Raw genomic sequence first — 18,240 nt, 5'->3', positions numbered from 1 at the left:
ATAGGGGCAAAGTGGAGAGAACCTGTATTTCTACTCCCACCTGGTAGGAATGAAGCAGTGTCCCCCTTCCCCTGCCAAAACAGTGTCAGAGGAGACCTGCTAGAACATAAGATTAAACAGTATCCTGAATCTCATAACATAATGCCCCAATGTCCAGGTTTCAATCAACAATTGCTCTTTATACCAAGGATCATAAAATCTCAACTTACAGGAAAAAAGATGATCAACAAATTCAAACATCAAGAGGAAAAAGACGTTAGAATTAACTGACAAGGGTTTTTAACTTTTTATTTGTTATTTTTCTGGGTACATAGATGTATATATTTATGGGGTACATGAGATGATTTGACACAGGCATGCAATGTGTAATAATCACATGGAGAATGGGGTGTCCATCCCCTCAAGCATGTATCTTTGGTGTTACAAACATCCAGTTACACTATTTTACTTATTGACAATGATTTTTAAATAGTCATCATAAAAATGCTTCAGTAAGCAATGCTTCAATAAACTCTTACAACAAATGCAAAAATAGAGAAGACTCAATGAAGAAGATGGAAAGACTCCAGTGGAAATTTCAGAACTGAAACATACCATAGAACCAAAATAGAAACCTCAATGGAGATGGGCTTAACAGCAGAATGCAGGCCAGAGAGGAAAACATCAGGGAATTTGATGATACAATAATAGACATCATCCGACCTGAAAAACGGAAAAAAAATAGTGTTAAAAAGATAGAGTCTCAGGGAATTTTGGGGCTATATCAAACGATCTAACATTCATGTCAGTGGAGTTCTGTAAGGGAGGAGAAAAAGTGAAGCCAAAAACATTTGAAGGAATAAACACTGAAAATTTACAAATATGGCAAAAGACAAAAACCTACAGATTCCAGAAACCAAGCAAACCCCAAAAATGATAAACCCTAAGAAATCTACACCAGGAAATATCATATTCAAACTTTTGAAAGCTAAAGACAAAAAAAATTATGAAAGCAGTGAGAGAGAAATGACACCTTACCAATAGAAGAAAACAATTTAATTGATGGCAGGTATGTCACCATAAACCATGGAAGCCAATATGAAGTAATACAATAGTTTTCAAATGCTAAAAGAAAAAAAAAAACTGTCGGCCAGGCGTGGTGACTCACACCTGTAATCCCAGCACTTTGGGAGGCCAAGGAGGATGGATTACAAGGTCAAGAGATCGAGACCATCCTGGCCAACATGGTGAAACCCCATCTCTACTGAAAATACAAAAATTTGCTGGGTGCGGTGGCGGGCACCTGTAATCCCAGCTACTCGGGAGACTGAGGCAGGAGAATTGCTTGAACCCGGGAGGCGGAGGTTGCAGTGAGCAGAGATCGTGCCACTGCACTCCAGCCTGGGTGACAGAGCAAGACAAAAAAGAAAAAGGAAGGAAGGGAGGGAGAGAGGGAGGGAGGGAAGGAAAGGAAAGAGAAACAAAGAGAGAGAGAGAAAGAAAGAAAGAGAAAGAAGAGAAGAGAAGGAAGGAAGGAAAGAAAGAAGGAAAAAGAAAAGAGAAAAGAAAAGAAGAAAAGAAAGGAGGGAGGGAGGGACGGAACGAAGGAAGGAGGGAGGGAGGGAGGAAGGGAAGGAAGGAAGGAAAAGAAGAAGGAAAGGAAGGAAGGAATGAAGGAAGGGAGGGAGGGAAGGAAGGAAGGAAAAGAAGAAGGAAAGGAAGGAAGGAAGAAAGAAAGAAAGAAAGAAAGAGAGAAAGAAACTGTCAACCCAGATTTATATACCCTTTGAAAATATCGTTCAGAAAACCAAAGAGAAATCAAGACATTCTCAGATGAAGGAAACTTAAAAGATGTGGCCAGCAAACCAACCTAAAACAATGACTAAAGAAAATTCCCTAAACACAAACAAAACTATAAAATAAGGAAACTTGGAAGATCAGACAGGAAAAAATATAATAAAAAATTAATATATGATTAATTTAAATAAATTTCTTTCTCCTCCTGAGTTTTCTAAATTATGTTTCATGGTTGAGGCAAGAAGTATAACACTGTCTGATGTGGTTCTCAATATATGTGTAGAAAATATTTAAGACAATTATATTAAAATGGAGGCGAGTAAAGGAATATAAACAAAGGCGAGTTTTCCACACTTCACTTAAACTGATAAAACGTTAACACTGGTAGACTATGGTAAGCTATGCATACAGCATGAAATACCCAGAGCAACTATTTAAAAAGCTATGCCAATAGGTATACTAAAAAACACTATAGATAAATCAAAATGGAACTCTAAAGCATATTCAAGTAACCCACAGAAAGGCAGGAAAAAGAATACAGAGAAACAAACAAAAAACAGAATGAACAAACAGAATACAATAAATACAATACAGGCTAAATATAGAAAATTACAGCAAGTGGAAAGAGTCTAAAGACATAGAAAAAAGACAGATCTTGGCAGAGTGGATAAAAAAGCATGATCCAACTGTACGATACATTCTGCAAAAAGCTAAATATAACAATATAGGTAGGTTGAAAGTAAAAGGATTGAAGAGATGCACAATTGTTCATAGCAGCTTTGTTTGTAATAGCCAAAAACTAGAGATCACAGAAATGTCCTAAAGATCTCAAGGCCATCATGCCGAGTGAAAAAGGGCAATTCAAAGGGCCATATATTTGATAATTCTATGTATATAACATTCTTGAAATGACACAATTATAAGAATGGAGAACAAATTAGGCATAGGACAAAGGAAAGCTCTGTGGTGATTGAATAGTTCCATATTTTGATTGCACCACCCATGTGAAGAAAACATATATGTGGCCAGGTGCGGTGGCACACACCTCTAACCCCAGCACTTTGGGAGGCTGAGGCAGGCAGATCATGAGGTCAGGAGTTTGAGACCAGCCTGGCCAACATGGTGAAACCCCGTCTCCACTAAAAATACAAAAATTAACCAGGCATAGTGGTGCACGCATGTAATCCCAGCTACTTGGGAGGCTGAGGCAGGAGAATTGCTTGAACCCAGGAGGTGGAGGTTGCAGTAAGCTGAGATCGCGCCACTGCACTCCAGCCTGGGCGACAGAGTGAGACTCCGTCTCAAAAAAAAAAAAAAAAAAGTGCCCACGATTCAGAAATCTAATATTTACAATATTAGATTTAATATTTTAAATATTTAATCTATGTAAATTTAATATTTACAATTCATGGATTCCTCACTGGCTCTACAGAGGCAGATAAGGCCTTCCTATCACTCAGCTACTGGTCTCAGGCTGGCCCCAGTGCCCATTCTTCCTATGTTGTGCACAACCCCTTTCTCAGAAAGACAGGGGCAAAGCTGTCAAGAGAACTTTCTATCACTTCCAGATTCGATCTTCCAGGCAGTGTGGACTTGAGTTTTTACAGCTGAGATTCTCCAAAATGACACTCAAAAAAAGAAAAGAGAAGAGAGAAGCACTTCTAGAACAGCTGCCTTCTCAGTGCCTGGGGCAGGGAAGAGACAGCCCAAAGATCTTGAACCAGAAAACAAAGCCTTGGTAATACCCTGCCTAACTGCAAAGGGGCAAGAGAGGGTAAGCCTCCCATGTGCCCAAAAGGAGAGGAGAACCAGATATGCGTGAGCCCGAGTCTCTTCCAGAACAGCCTTGAAACACACAGATGAAGAAAGGTAGAGGGAACCCCCACAATAAATGTGCAGTGGGGGAACAGGGCAGGAAGAGCTTGGGGAATAGCAAAGGATGCAGTTGGGCTAGAATGTATAGAGTGGGTCGGGGGTCCTGGAATATGAGATAAAGTCAGCTGGGTCAATATTGTGGAGGGTCTTGGTTGCCAGGCAAACAAGAATTTGAGCCTTGCTCTGTCTGTAGGAAGGTTGAACATTTCTGCACCAGCAATGGAGCTATATGAAGGTAGATAAAGAAGATCTCCAAAGTGGAGAATGTGGTAAAGTAATTTACAGGCTAGCCAGATTGACAAAAGTTAACAAATGACCTGGTGGTAGAAAAATAAAGACAATAAGTACCCACTATTCTGTCAAAAGGTTTGGTAATGAAAAGAAGGCAGAAGCCACCTTCATGGAAGAAGTGCCTCATGGTTACGGGTCAGACATTGTAGGATCAGTTAACAGATGTGCTTATAGGGAAAGAAAAAATGATCCAGTAGTAAAGAAGACATGAAAGAGGCAAGAAAAGGGGGAGCATAATGGATGAAATGTGGCCCTGAAGAAATCAAAAGGGAATCAGCCAAGGAAGGAACAACTCTGCATGTGAGACACAAGAGGAAAAGAATAAAAATTATTAGAAAGGTATGGAGGCAGAAAAAAAGTCTAAGAAACTAACGAAGCAGAAACAGTTTTGCAGACAATTTTTCTAATGATTCTAAAAGAGATACATTCAATTTGTGGAATTTGTGGAATAAAAACAAGAAAATAATATTCATCAGTAACTATAAAATGCAAAGAATTTCACTGCTAACCTCTTGATTTATTTACTTTCAGTATTTTTCATACATTTTCAAACTAATGGACTATTTCAAACACTGCTATTTTATGAAGTCAAATTTATCGTATTTTTTACAGGTTCTTAATTTCAAGTCACTGTTACAAAGGCCTTCCTCATCTGAATTTGTAAAAGTATTCTCCTATATTTTATTTTAGTACATTTATGATTTTCACTTTTCACATTTGAATCTTTGATCCATTTGTAATTTAAGTATATAGATAAAGTAGTGAACATTCATGCAGCTGCACAGTTGTATCAAATCTTAACTTTTTATGTTAACTCCACTTTATTGAGATACAATTTTCAGACAATAAGATGCATCAATTGAAAGTGCGCAGGTCAGGCTGGGCACAGTGGCTCACGCTTGTAATCCCAGTGCTTTGGGAGGCCAAGGTGGGAGGATCAGTTGAGGTTAGGAGTTTATGCCAGCCTGGGCAACATAATGAGGCCCCATCTCTAAAAAAATTTTTTTAAATTAGCCAGGCATGGTGGCATGTGCCTGTAGTCCCAGCTACTTGGGAAGCTGAGGTGGGAAGACAACTTGAGCCCAGTAATTCAAGGCTTCAGTGAGCTATGATCATGCTACTAAACTCCAGCCTGGGCAATAGAGTGAGACCCTGTGTCTAAAAATAAAAATAAAAGTAGGCAGCTTCATGGAGTTTGAAAGCACATGAATTTGTGTAATCAACACCCAGATCAAGATACAGAATAGCATTTCAAAATGTAGAACATCAACCTTAGAAATTCTTTCTTGTTGCTTTCCAGCCAGTACATCTCTCTGACAGAGACAACCACTACTCTTATCTCTAACCATGTCAAAGATGAGTTTTGCCTGTTCTTGAAGTTAATATAAATGTAGTCATACTGTTCGTACTGTTTTGTGCCTGACTTCTTCAGCTCAATATGTTTTTGAGATTTTTCCATGGTGTCATGAGTACCGGCAGTTCATTCTTTATTGTTGTTGCATACTACTCCATTACATAAACATGTCACAGTTTGTTGTCCATTATTCTGTTTATGAGCAGTTATTTTTATTTTAGTGCTATTAAGAATATAGCTGCTATAAGCATTCTTGTGCAAATATTATTGTGTGTATAAAATATATACATTCATCTCTCTTGGACATATACCTAACCATGAAATTGCTAGGTCCTTGGGGGAGGTCCTTTGTCAGAGAGAGAGAGAGAGAGAGAGAGAGATAGTATATTACTGTATAAATAAATATGTGTTTATTTATTTTTATACACATATTTATTTATAGAGTCATGTGCCACATAATGACATTTCAGTCAACAATGATGGAACATACACATACAAAAGCTGTCCCAAAAAACTATAATGTCATATTTTTATTGTACCTTTTCTATGTTTAAATGTGTTTCCAGATAACAAATACTTACCATTGTGTTACAGTTGCCTACTGTATTCAGTACAGTAACATGCTGTGCAGGTTTACAGCCTATGAGCAATAGACTATACCATATAGCCTAAGTGTGTTATAGGCTATACCATCCAGGTTCATGAAGTCCACTGTGATGTTTACACAACAACAAAATCACTAAAGGTGAATTTCTCAGAATATATTCCCATTGTTACAAAAGATATGACGTTGTGTATGTATGTGTTCTAATGTGTGCGTTGGGGGGTGGGTGTATGAAGAGAGAGAGAGAATATTTTAACCCAGGCTGTAGCTTGCCTTTTCACTTTCTTAGCTATTTATCTGATCAACAAAAGGTTTTCATTTTGATGAAGTCTAATCTATTTATTATAGTGTCCTCCATGAGCTTAGAAGTCTTCTCATGGCAGAAGGTTATGAATATAATCTTCTGAGTTTTCTTCTAAAAACTTTAGACTTGAAATCTTCACAATTAAGTGTTTAATCCAACCTGAATTAAGTTTTATACGTAGCGTGAGGTAGAGATCAAGATGTATTCATTTTGGCTATACAAGTATCCACTTGATTCAGCGACAAGTATTGAACAGTATTGAAAAAACAGTATTGAAAAAGCTTTCCTTTTCTCATTGACTTGCTTTGGGATCTTTGTCAGAAATCAATTGACCACATATATGTGAGTCTATTTCTAAACTCTATATTCTTTCTCATTGATCTACTTTCCAACCCTTATGCCAATATCACACTGTTTTAATTGTAGTAGCATTATAGTAACTTGCATGAATTTACATTTCATTGCCACAAGCAATGAGAGTGCTATAGGCAGTGAATGTATCTGTTATCAAACTTTGATTTTTTTCAGTTTGATAGGTGGAAAACTAAAATATCTCAGTATAATTTAAATTTACATTTCTCTTTTCATGAGTGACATTGAGCATTTTTTCTTATTTTAAGTGCCTTTTGTATTTTCCTTTTGGTCACTGTCTAGAGTGTAATTGTAATATTGTTTCCCAGTTTGTCATCTTGTCTTCTGGTTTTACAGGTTGTATTTTTCACCCAAGCACAAGTTCAAACACTGTTATTTTATGGAGTCAAATCTAACAGTTTTTTACGGCTTCTTAATTTTGAGTCATCATTGGAAAAGTCTTCTGACTCCAAATTTATAAAATAATTATCCTTTTGGGCATATTTATTATTTATTTTTCATATCTCAATCTTTGATCTACTTGTAATTCGTCCCACTGTAAAGGATGAAGTATGGTTTCAACATTCCCTGCCCCCACACCAAAGGGAATACAAAATTGTCCCCAAAGTACATATAATACATATAACGGTCTACCTTTTCCCCATGGCTTTTATTTTGTATTTTATTTTATTTTATTAAAAATGAAATCGCACTGTGTTGCCCACCTGAACTTGAACTCCTGGGTTCAAGTAATTCTTCTGCCTCAGCCTCCTACAGAATGGGAGAAAATTTTTGCAATCTGTCCATCTGACAAAGGGCTAATATACAGAATCTACAAGGAACTTAAACAAATTTACAAGAAAAAACAAACAACCCCATCAAAAAAATGGGCTAAGGATATAGAAAGACACTTCTCAAAAGAAGACATTTATGTGGCCAACAAACATATGAAAAAAGCTCATCATCACTGGTCACTAGAGAAATGCAAATCAAACCACAATGAGATACCATCTCACACCAGTTAGAATGACAATCATTAAAAAGTCAGGAAACAACAGATGCTGGAGAGGATGGAGAGAAATTGGAACACTTTTACACAGTTGGTGGGAGTGTAAATTAGTTCAACCAATGCAGAAGACAGTGTGGCAATTTCTTAAGGATCAAGAACCATAAATACAGTTTGACCCAGCAATCCTATTACTTGATACATACCCAAAGGATTATAAATCATTCTACTATAAAGACACATGCACATGTATGTTTATTGCAGCACTATTCACAATAGCAAAGACATGGAACCAACCCAAATGCCCATCAATGATGGACTGGATAAAGAAAATGTGGCACATATACACCATGGAATACTATACAGCCATAATAAAGGATTAGTTCATGTCCTTTGCAGGGACATGAATAAAGCTGGAAACCATCATTCTCAGCAAACTCACACAGGAACAGAAAACCAAACACTGCATGTTCTCACTCATAAGTGGGAGTTGAACAATGAGCACACATGGACACAGGGAGGGGAACATCACACCGGGGACTGTGAGGGGGTGAGGGGCTAGGGGTGGGATAGCATTAGGAGAAATACCTAATGTAGATGACAGGTTGATGGGTACAGCAAACCACCATGGCACTTGTATACCTATGTAGCAAACCTGCACGTTCTGCACATGTATCCCAGAACTCAAAGTACAAAAAATCTCATAATTCAAGAAAAAAAAAAAAGGATGAAAAGGGGCCACTAGCTGAGGATGTGGACAGCCTGTAGAAGCTGGAAAAGGCAAGAAAATGATGTTCCCCTAGAGCCTCCATAAAGGATTAGCAGCAAGTAACTTTCTGAAGAAAATGCTGAGTAAGTATTCCTCAGAAAGAAAACACACCCCTTTCAATGAATCCTATTTAAACATCCAGTATAAACCAACACTGTGATACATTTTTATCTAATGTAATACCACAAGCAAACACCAAGCACTAAAAATGTTATAAAATGTGGACTTTGGAAAACCAAAAGAGAGCTAGTCTCTTTTCCAAGAAATTTCTTATTAGCAATCAAACCCTACCTTTTCCCCATGGCTTTTATTTTATTTCATATTTTATTTATATTTTATTTTATGTTATTACATTTTATGGAAAGCTAAAACATAAATCTAGCAATTATCTTTAAAACAAGACTTTTAAAAGACTAACATTTTAATTCATACTCACATTGTCCTGACACTGAAAATGGGGAAACCATTTGGGCAGAACAAACTAAAATATTGACTTCTGATTTCTAAGTTTACCAATAATTATTAAACATTAATAGTTTCCCTTTTCTAGAGAAGAAAGGAAAAGAAGGATGAACTCATTCCTGGTTAAGCTCAGTGCCAAGTGGAGAGGTCAACAAGAATGTAATGAACTTAGTATACTCACACCTGCTTAATAATGGATGCTGTTAGGACAGTTCCTTTTGAAGACATAATTTGAAGCTCTGGGTCCAATAGACAAGTAGTAGTTATGATGGGTAATAACTTACTAACAGCCTAAATGCACATGTTTATGAGACAAATAACTCTTCTTAAGCAAGTAAAAAGCAGACTAATAAGATGTTCCTACAGGATTTGATATAAACCTGAGAAAGGAAAACATCCCACCTGTGTGACACCACGTAGAAGAGAGGCTATATAAGCACTTCAAAGAGGAAAACACCAAGAGCCTTGGAATTCAGACTCTGTGGAGGTGGCTTGAGCTTTTCATCCTGGTGACCACAGACCTGGAACAAACTAAAGCCAGACACATACTATGGACACCAAGGGCTGTACAACAACCAATTCTCCTTCAACCCCATGTCAAAACTGCTCTAGGATTACAAATGTTAGTACCATCTCTTCTAACAACGGCTGCCATCCTGGTGGCCTTACAGTCAACAACTGTCAACCAGCTGGCCACGTTCTCAGAATTCCCTGGGACCAGGGCTGCCAACCCACTCCTCGCTTTTGTCGCAAGCCCATCTACCTAATGAACAACTTCAATGCCCGTTTTTCTCTGGATGACTGCAGCTGGTATGGTGAAGGCATCAACAGTAATGAGAAGGAGACCATGCAAATCTTGAACGAGCGCCTTGCTAACTACCTGCAAAAGGTGCGAATGCTAGAACGAGAGAATGCTGAACTGGAATCTAAAATCCAGGAAGAAAGTAACAAAGAGCTCCCTGTTCTATGTCCTGATTACCTGTCTTACTACACTACCATTGAGGAGCTCCAGCAGAAGGTAAGATTCCTAAGAACCTGTTTAATCGTGTTGTGAATTAATGGTTTCCAAGCAACAGTTATTTGCTAAACTTTAATATTTTTTGTTCAGTTGATGCTGAAAATTTTTTTGAAGAATAGAAAAATTTCTTGAGTGAAATTGTCATCTTGAGGCAGCATTCAGAGTCTGATAGTATTTCTGGTCAGGCGCAGTGATGCACACCTGTAATCCTAACACTTTGGGAGGCTGAGGCAGACAGATCACTTGAGCCCAGGAGTTCTAGACCATCCTGGGCAACATGATGAAATTCCATCCTTACACACACACACACACACACACACATACACACACAAAAAAAAATTAGATGGGCGTGGTGGCACATGCCTGTGGTCCCAGCTACTTGGGAGGCTGAGGTGGGAGGATCACTTGAGCCCAAGAGGTTGAGGCTGCCATGAGCCAAGATCCTGCCACTGCACTCCAGCCCAGACAAAAGTGAGACTATGTCTTTAAAAATCAGAAACAAAAAGAAGAGTCTCATGGTGTTTCCTTTCTCCAGAAATACACTCTACCATTATAACTAGATGACTCAGGACCAAAAGATGTTAACAGCAAGTTGTTGCCATTTTTTAAATAAAAATAGGGAAACAGAGATCAGAGAAAATAAATTTTGCTTTAATGAGTTTCTAAGCAATTTAGTTTTTATCCATTTTTCAACCATCACCACCTTTTTCTCCTTTTATGCTTATGTTATCATCTCCACATTGCTTGGTTTGTTTCTACACCAAACCTAAGTTTGTTATGCACAGACGTATTCTGCTACTACATATCTGGATTTATTCAGTTTTATTCATTCAACAAATGTTTACTGAGCAGCAACAACATTGGGCCAAACATTGTTCTAGATTCTGGGAAAATATTGGTGACCTTTAAAAAGTCCCTGCCCTCATGGAGTTGACATTCTAGTGGATCATGGTATTTATATAAATTTAGGATGGATTTTATTTTATTTTTTATTTATTTATTTATGTATTTATTGAGATGGAGTCTCACTCTGTCACCAGGCTGGAGTGCAATGGCGCGATCTCTGCTCACTGCAACCTCCAGCTCCCAGGTTCAAGCGATTCTCCCTCCTCTGCCTCTCTAGTAGCTGGGTCTACAGGCACGCACCACCACACCCAGATAATTTTTGTATTTTTTTTTTTTTTTGAGACGGAGTCTCGCTCTGTCTCCCAGGCTGCAGTGCAGTGGCGCGATCTCGGCTCACTGCTAGCTCCGCTTCCTGGGTTCATGCCATTCTCCTGCCTCAGCCTCCCAAGTAGCTGGGACTACAGGCGCCCGCCACCACGCCCAGCTAATTTTTTTTTTTTTTATATTTTTAGTAGAGACGGGGTTTCACCGTGTTAGCCAGGATGGTCTTGATCTCCTGACCTCGTGATCTACCCGCCTCGGCCTCCCAAAGTGCTGGGATTACAGGCGTGAGCCACTGCGCCCGGCCAATTTTTGTATTTTTTAGTAGAGACAGGGTTTCACCATGTTGGCCAGGATGGTCTTGATCTCTTGACCTCGTGATCCGCCCGCCTCAGCCTCCCAAGTGCTGATATTACATGGGTGAGCCACTGCTCTCAGCCTGGATTTTTTAACAACAACAACAAAAAAAATACTTAAAAGTTTCTAGTTAAGTACTTTTTGCTGATCTTTTAGGAAAATAACAGGAAATCTGACTTTCTGAAGTTTTCCAAGCTTTGTGAGCATAGCTATGAAGATTAATAAAAAGTCTACTTAGCCTTCCCCTGTTACTTGACACACACACAAACCCCTTGGTTCTTAAAGAAGGAAATCTTGGTGTTTGCTTCATTTGTGTGTACAATCTCTTAATTCTAGATCTTGTGTACCAAGGCCGAGAATTCCAGACTGGTCTCGCAAATTGACAACACCAAACTGACTGCAGATGACTTGAGAGCCAAGTAAGCCCACCCAACACCGTCATCAATGACAGAGCTCACCCTGAGTCTGACCGAGATGCCCTCAACAAAATTGTCCCCATGTCTACTAACCCTCTTGCCCCAGATGATGTTGGCACAAGCCCAGAAAAGACTTTCAAATTCAATGAATGATTAAGATTAATAACTGCTCACATGTATACAGTACCTATAGTTTCTAACTTGTGAACCCATTTGATTACCTACACAATAGTTCAGTAAAATAGATAGGACTAATATATTGTTACTCTCTTTAAGGTGAGAAATCTGTGGCTTAGTGAGGCTAAGTTACTCACCCAAAGGTAAGCATAACTAGCACAAGTCAAAACCGAAACTTGGACACATGTTTTCTGAGCCCTAATCCAGTGCTTTCTTCACTTACATTGCATTGCCACTAGGGGCAGAGGAAGGACAATAAATTCCCATATCTCAAAGAACAGCAATGTAGATCCCCCTAGCAAACTAATTTGGGAATAATAATTAAGTTATGATCTATATCAAATGGTTTCACCTCCAAAGAGAATAAAACTTCTAATAGAAATACACTAAGTGAGGTGCCCAGAGCAAAATGCAGATGAGAGTTCTGCTTGGCTTGGTTTGCATCATCTCCTTTCAGATGTCTCTCTTTTCCCATCTGGTTTTTAAAGATACGAAGCTGAGGTGTCTCTACGCCAGCTGGTAGAGTCAGATGCCAATGGCCTCAAGCAGATCCTGAATGTGCTGACCCTGGGCAAGGCCGACCTAGAGGCACAAGTCCAGTCTCTGAAAGAGGAGCTCCTTTGCCTCAAGAACAACCACAAAGAGGTGAGACAAAGACCAATAGAGTAATCACAAGCTAAGTCCCTAAAAGTAGCATCAGTTCCTTTGAGTTGCACCTGACAAAGGGTGTGCCCGCTTGTATTAGTTCGTTCTCACACTGCTATAAAGAAATAACTGAGAGTAGGTAATTTATAAAGGACAGAAGTGTAACTGAGTCACAGTTCCACATGGCTGGGGAGGCCTCAGGAAACTTACAATCATGGCTTAAGGGGAAGCAGGCACATCTCACTTGGCAGCAGGAGACAGAGAGAGACCAAAGGGGGAAGAGCCCTTTATAAAACTATCAGATCTTGTGAGAACTCACTCACTATCCTAAGAACAGCATGGGGGACACCACCCCCATGATCCAATCTCCTCCCACTAGGTCCCTCCCTTGACACATGGGAATTATGGGAATTACAATTCGAGATGAGATTTGGGTGGGGACACAGAGCCAAACCACTGCTACGTACTACTCTGGTTTAGCCCTGAAAATACCTACTGCTACTAGCACTGGTTCAAGGTAGTATTTCAAATCCACTGGCTCCAACACAATATCTGGAGCCATAAGGGGAAGAAAGGCCTCCAACATCCCCTCCAGCTTTTCTACAAGAAGGAACCCAATTTTTCTGTCCTTACAGTCTTCCCATGTTTGTAGGCATCCCTATACAGGCTTCTGCCACCTCCCATTGGTACAAGTCAATATTGGTGCAAGTCAATATTGGCACAATCCCGTATTTGCACCATAGAGACTATAATCTCTCATGATCAATTCCACCTTTATCCTGTTTCACCCATTATCCAGCCCTGGAAATGATCTAAATTTTTTGGAACTCTGGTCTTGCTACTCATTTTTTTTTAATTTTGCACACATTTAAACACACAGTCCTACCTGAAAGAGTCTTAAATCATTTTATAGCATCTCAATAACACCTGTAAATCATGTATTCCTTTGTTGTGGGCTATATTTTAGACACAATTAAGCTAAATCGTAGCAGTTAGAGTGAAACAAGAACACAAAGGGGTTATCTGTTCACCAAGTGACTTCACAGTCTTTTTCTTTCCTTAGGAAATCAATTCTTTACAGTGTCAGCTTGGGGAGAGACTTGACATTGAAGTGACTGCTGCCCCTTCTGCTGACCTAAACCAGGTTCTACAAGAAATGAGATGTCAATATGAGCCCATCATGGAGACAAACCGCAAAGATGTGGAACAGTGGTTCAACACGCAGGTGGGGGATATAGAAAAGTCAAAAACAATAAGCTGATGCTGCATTTCTAGGGCCCTTTAATCAAAGTCATGTTTTCCTCCCATAATATTCTCAGTCTCTGGCTGTGTGTTTCAGATAGAGGAGCTGAATCAACAAGTGGTGACCAGCTCTCAACAGCAGCAATGCTGCCAAAAGGAGATCATAGAACTGAGACGCAGTGTGAACACTCTGGAGGTTGAACTGCAGGCCCAGCATCGAATGGTACTGAGCAAGCTGACCAAGCCTAGCTCAGCAAAGATGGAAACAGTCCCTTACACCTGTGTGCTGCAGTATTTCCCAAACTGTGTCTTTCAGAACAATAGTTCCTCATTTGTTAAAGCGTCTATGGCTGAAAAAGAGCTTTGTGGCCAAATAAGTCTACGAAACGCTGCACTAAACCAAGGTTAAACAGGGTGCCTTCCTGTGAGCCATTAATAAGCTAATATACACCATGAATCTCCAGGAAGGGGGTATATGGTATTCAGCATTCCAAAACTTATTTGACTGTGGATCCCCCCACTTTTTTTAGAACATCTCATGGTATTAATGATTCATGAAGTACACTTTGGGAAACACTGGGAGAGCATTTTATTATATGCAAAGCATTTTTACAAGCTATCACATGAGATTTATAAAGCAATCCTAAGAGGGGGGGTGGCATAATTATTAACGAATGTTACAGATGAGGCTCCAAGAGCTAAAGTGATTTTCCCAAGCAAATCCAAGGTAAGTTTCAGCCCACCTATTTTATAGAGACACTGAGATCCTGAGACATTAAGAAACTCATCCAAAGTCACAAAAGAAATAAGAGTCTGAGCCAGAGTTTAGATTCCAAAGCCAGTATCATTCTGTCTCATGATAATGCCTCTCTGAAGTAGAGAATTGCTTACATGCTCTGATGTGAAGGCTTTTGGGAAGACCTTGCCCCACACTGGTTTTGTCACCAGCTAGTCATGTGACCTTGGACAACATATTGAACCACTTGAACCTCAGTTTTCTCATCTATAAAAATTGGGATAATCATGCAAATAATAGGCTATTAAAACCTAAAATCCCATCATTATCCATAGACTTACAGAATGATAGAGCAGGAATGAAATTTACTCATCAGTTTCAACTTTCATATTTTACATATAAAGGAATTGATCTGGTGGATAAATTGTATATGGTAAAACATTGCTTCCTTCCTTTTTTAAGACACGAACACTCACTGAATGAAGTGCCATGGTAATGCTTTTTTTTTTTTTTCTTTTTGAGATGGAGTCTCACTCTGTCGCCCAGACTGGACAGCAGTGGCACGATCTCGGGTCACTGCAACCTCCACCTCCCGGGTTCAAGCAATTCTCTGCCTTAGCCTCCCAAGTAGCTGGGATTACAGGTGCCCACCAGAACACCCAGCTAATTTTTTGTATTTTTAGTAGAGACGGGGTTTCACCATCTTGGCCAGGCTGGTCTTGAACTCCTGACCTTGTGATCCACCCACCTGGGCCTCCCAAAGTGCTGGGATTATAGGCGTGAGCCACTGCGCCCAGCCAGTAATGCATTTTTAATGCCTGGGTGTGCATTAAGTTATTATTTTTTCTCTCCTAAGTAGGAAAGTGTGGTGCGAGACTATTGGTTGGTCAAGAAAGAGAAAGTGAAACAAATACTTACAGAGAAGCAAAAAGAGAAAGAGAGAAAGAGGGAAGAGATAAAGGAAAGCAGATTTTAGCATAGTTGATCATTTGGGTTTTGGATTTATTTGATTAGGAAACAATAAATAAAGTGCTTGGAGATCTATCAGTAGTGTCACAAAGAAACCATTTTTTTTAAATGATACAGGTCACAGGTGACCTGGGCTTAAAGGAGTCATTATAAATCCTACTATCCTTCTCCATGGTAGAGAGATTCCCAAGAGTGCATCCTAACGGAGACAGAGGCTCGCTACACGGCCTTGCTGACCCAGATCCAGAGTCTGATTGATAACCTGGAAGCTCAGCTGGCAGAGATCCGGTGTGCCCTGGAAAGACAGAACCAAGAATACGAGATCCTGCTGGACGTCAAGTCCCGGCTGGAATGTGAGATTACCACATACCGCAGCCTTCTGGAGAGCTCGGATGGCAAGTATGTAAAATAACAGCAACTTCTATGACAAAAAAGTGTAAATGAACGCAGATATATGTACTGCCACTGGCAACAGGGGTCAAGTGCTTTGTTTGACCTTCTTGCCAGTGATGGGGAGCTTGGACAGAGGCATCCACACACCCTCTCAAGCTGTGCCATGAGGAAGACTTGCAATTGTAACCTTATCCAAATTTGAGGCATTGGCTGACCTGAGCTGTTCTGAAGAGCCCATGGGCCAGGTTAATTTCTTATAGGTTGCTTACCTTCTTAGAGTTTTAAAAATTACTAGAGAAAAAATTATTTCCCCATAGATGAATATTCCTGGTGACCATTACAGATGTTTCCCCACTGAGATGAACGTCTGATTTTCATGAGCTTGTACAAAACAACCCAGGCTCCTTTGGAGGAACATTCTGCTCAGGCTGAAACCCCTAACCCTATCTAGCCACTAGTCCTTGAGGCCAACAGAAGCATGTACACATGTATGTTTTAGCATCTTTTTTAAAAAATAAAAGTTATAATTTTTGTAAGCAATAAGAAGCTAACCAACCCATAAGTAAACATATATGGAGGATGAGTTCTTTGAAGCAACTCAGTCCAAACTAAAACCCCAGAGACTTAGTTACAATTGCAAAGGAGACCTACTTCCCGAAAATAATCAGTGAACTCTTCACAGCATTCTTTTAATTGGCATGACCACATTATGTGAGCACAATGGTCATCAATGCTGTCACCTTTAGGAGCTGTGATCATATACCAAAATACCTCGAATCATCAAAGAAAGATTATGTTTATAAAAAGAGTGTTTACTATGAACTGCTTTTTACTTCAGTTCTCTAAAAACTATGCATAGACAGCCAGAAGGCACTTTGAAGCTTCCTGATGACACAGTGAGGACTCTTTCATAGCTGGGGTTCAGGCCACCACTATTAGTATGACTAACTCCTCAATGAGAAAAATATCTGGTTAATTTCCATTCCTCGGATAATAATGCCCTCAACTTGTTCCTTATCACTGTTGATCCTGTGGGTTTAGTTTCCATTATATCCATTCTGCAGATGAAAAACTAAAGGTTGAGTGCGTTAAATGACTTAGCTGAGGTCACCAGCTGGTAAAGGACAGAGCTGGTCTCTGCCTCAGTCTTTTGACTGCTAGTGCAGTATTCTTTCCACAATGTGATGGTATTGACTAATGGAAACTTACATAATCGAATACTTCTAAACCTAGGATGCTGATTTCCAATGGATTTAATCTGATTCTTTTTCTTCCAGTAACTACAGTACAAAATAAATGAATAAGCATTTAGAAGTATGTACTTGTCTTGAGCAACACGTGTTAAAAAAATTAGCCACAATCATTTTTCTCCATGACCATCATCGCCTTCCCTCAATCACAGCTAAAATTGTGTTTTTTTTCCTTAGGCGTCCCTGTTACCCACGTGCCACCAAATGTGAGCCTTCCCCTTGGACATCTTGTAAGTCCGGAGCCATAGAAAGCACGGCCCCAGCTTGCACATCCTCATCCCCCTGCAGCTTAAAGGAGCACTGCAGTGCCTGCGGACCCCTGTCCCGGATACTGGTTAAAATTTGCACCATCACCAAGGAGATTAAGGATGGGAAGGTCATTTCTTCTTACGAGCATGTGCAGCCTTGTTTCATCATCAGACCTGCCAAAGTCTAACATCCCAAGGTGATGAAAATGACCCACATTTATGAAACAGAGGCCAATACATGCTCCTGCCAGAGAGGTTTAAGAAAACTCCCCAGTCCCTTAAGGTACTTAGTTTCTTACTACTACAGCGGGTCCCCATTGCTAGGTAGAATATCTTTTATTCTGCTCCTTCCCTAACTCACCACTGCTAACATGATAATAAATTACATTTCTCTGGAAGGATGTTTTGCATTTATCTGAGGGATGGGAACTGATTTGTAAGCACCCAGGAAGATGGCCTACATTGCTTGACTACCCAGGTGATTGATGGGCAGGTCTCTCTCTTGTTTACTCAGGCCTTGTTTACCGACATTCCTCCTTAGAGCCAGTCAGACAAGTTTAGGGTTGTTTTTGGCCACCGGCACCTGAAGGTGAAAAGCTACAACCTTCCCTTCTAAATGTCTTTGGATACAGAAAGAAACATATATGGGAACAGTATAAATAGGGGAAAAGATCTTTAATATTTAATTCACTTGTGTAGATAGTCACGAGTATGGATCCTATTAAACTCTGCTGTCTTAATTATGATTTATCTATACTAACATACTTTACCTTTCCAAAGATATTTTTTTAAATGTCCATGGTCTCCAAAACTTTGTGACCTATTAGGCT

The 18,240-nt window shown here is 39.6% G+C and overlaps 1 protein-coding gene and 1 long non-coding RNA gene across 3 annotated transcripts in view; one reads left to right on the top strand and one right to left on the bottom strand.

The window, feature by feature from the left end:
- The window catches only part of LOC107985072 (uncharacterized), a 55,255-nt gene that overhangs the window by 7,659 nt on the left and 29,356 nt on the right, over nt 1-18,240 (bottom strand). For both annotated transcript variants that reach the window (XR_001752886.2, XR_001752885.2), the window contains exon 2: nt 595-702. This is a non-coding gene — a long non-coding RNA (uncharacterized LOC107985072). The remainder of the gene's footprint in view (nt 1-594; nt 703-18,240) is intronic.
- On the top strand, nt 9,251-17,782 carry KRT39 (keratin 39). Its single transcript, NM_213656.4, has 7 exons — nt 9,251-9,810; nt 11,671-11,753; nt 12,416-12,572; nt 13,636-13,797; nt 13,912-14,037; nt 15,698-15,918; nt 17,340-17,782. The coding sequence occupies exons 1-7, from the start codon at nt 9,343-9,345 to the stop codon at nt 17,596-17,598; spliced, it is 1,476 nt and encodes a 491-aa protein (NP_998821.3). The 5' UTR covers nt 9,251-9,342; the 3' UTR covers nt 17,599-17,782.

This window comes from Homo sapiens, chromosome 17 (assembly GCF_000001405.40).
Source record: "Homo sapiens chromosome 17, GRCh38.p14 Primary Assembly".
Classification (NCBI taxonomy): Eukaryota; Metazoa; Chordata; class Mammalia; order Primates; family Hominidae; genus Homo; species Homo sapiens.
The sequence above is the reverse complement of the archived record's forward strand: the minus strand, read 5'-3'. Positions and strand labels throughout refer to the sequence as shown.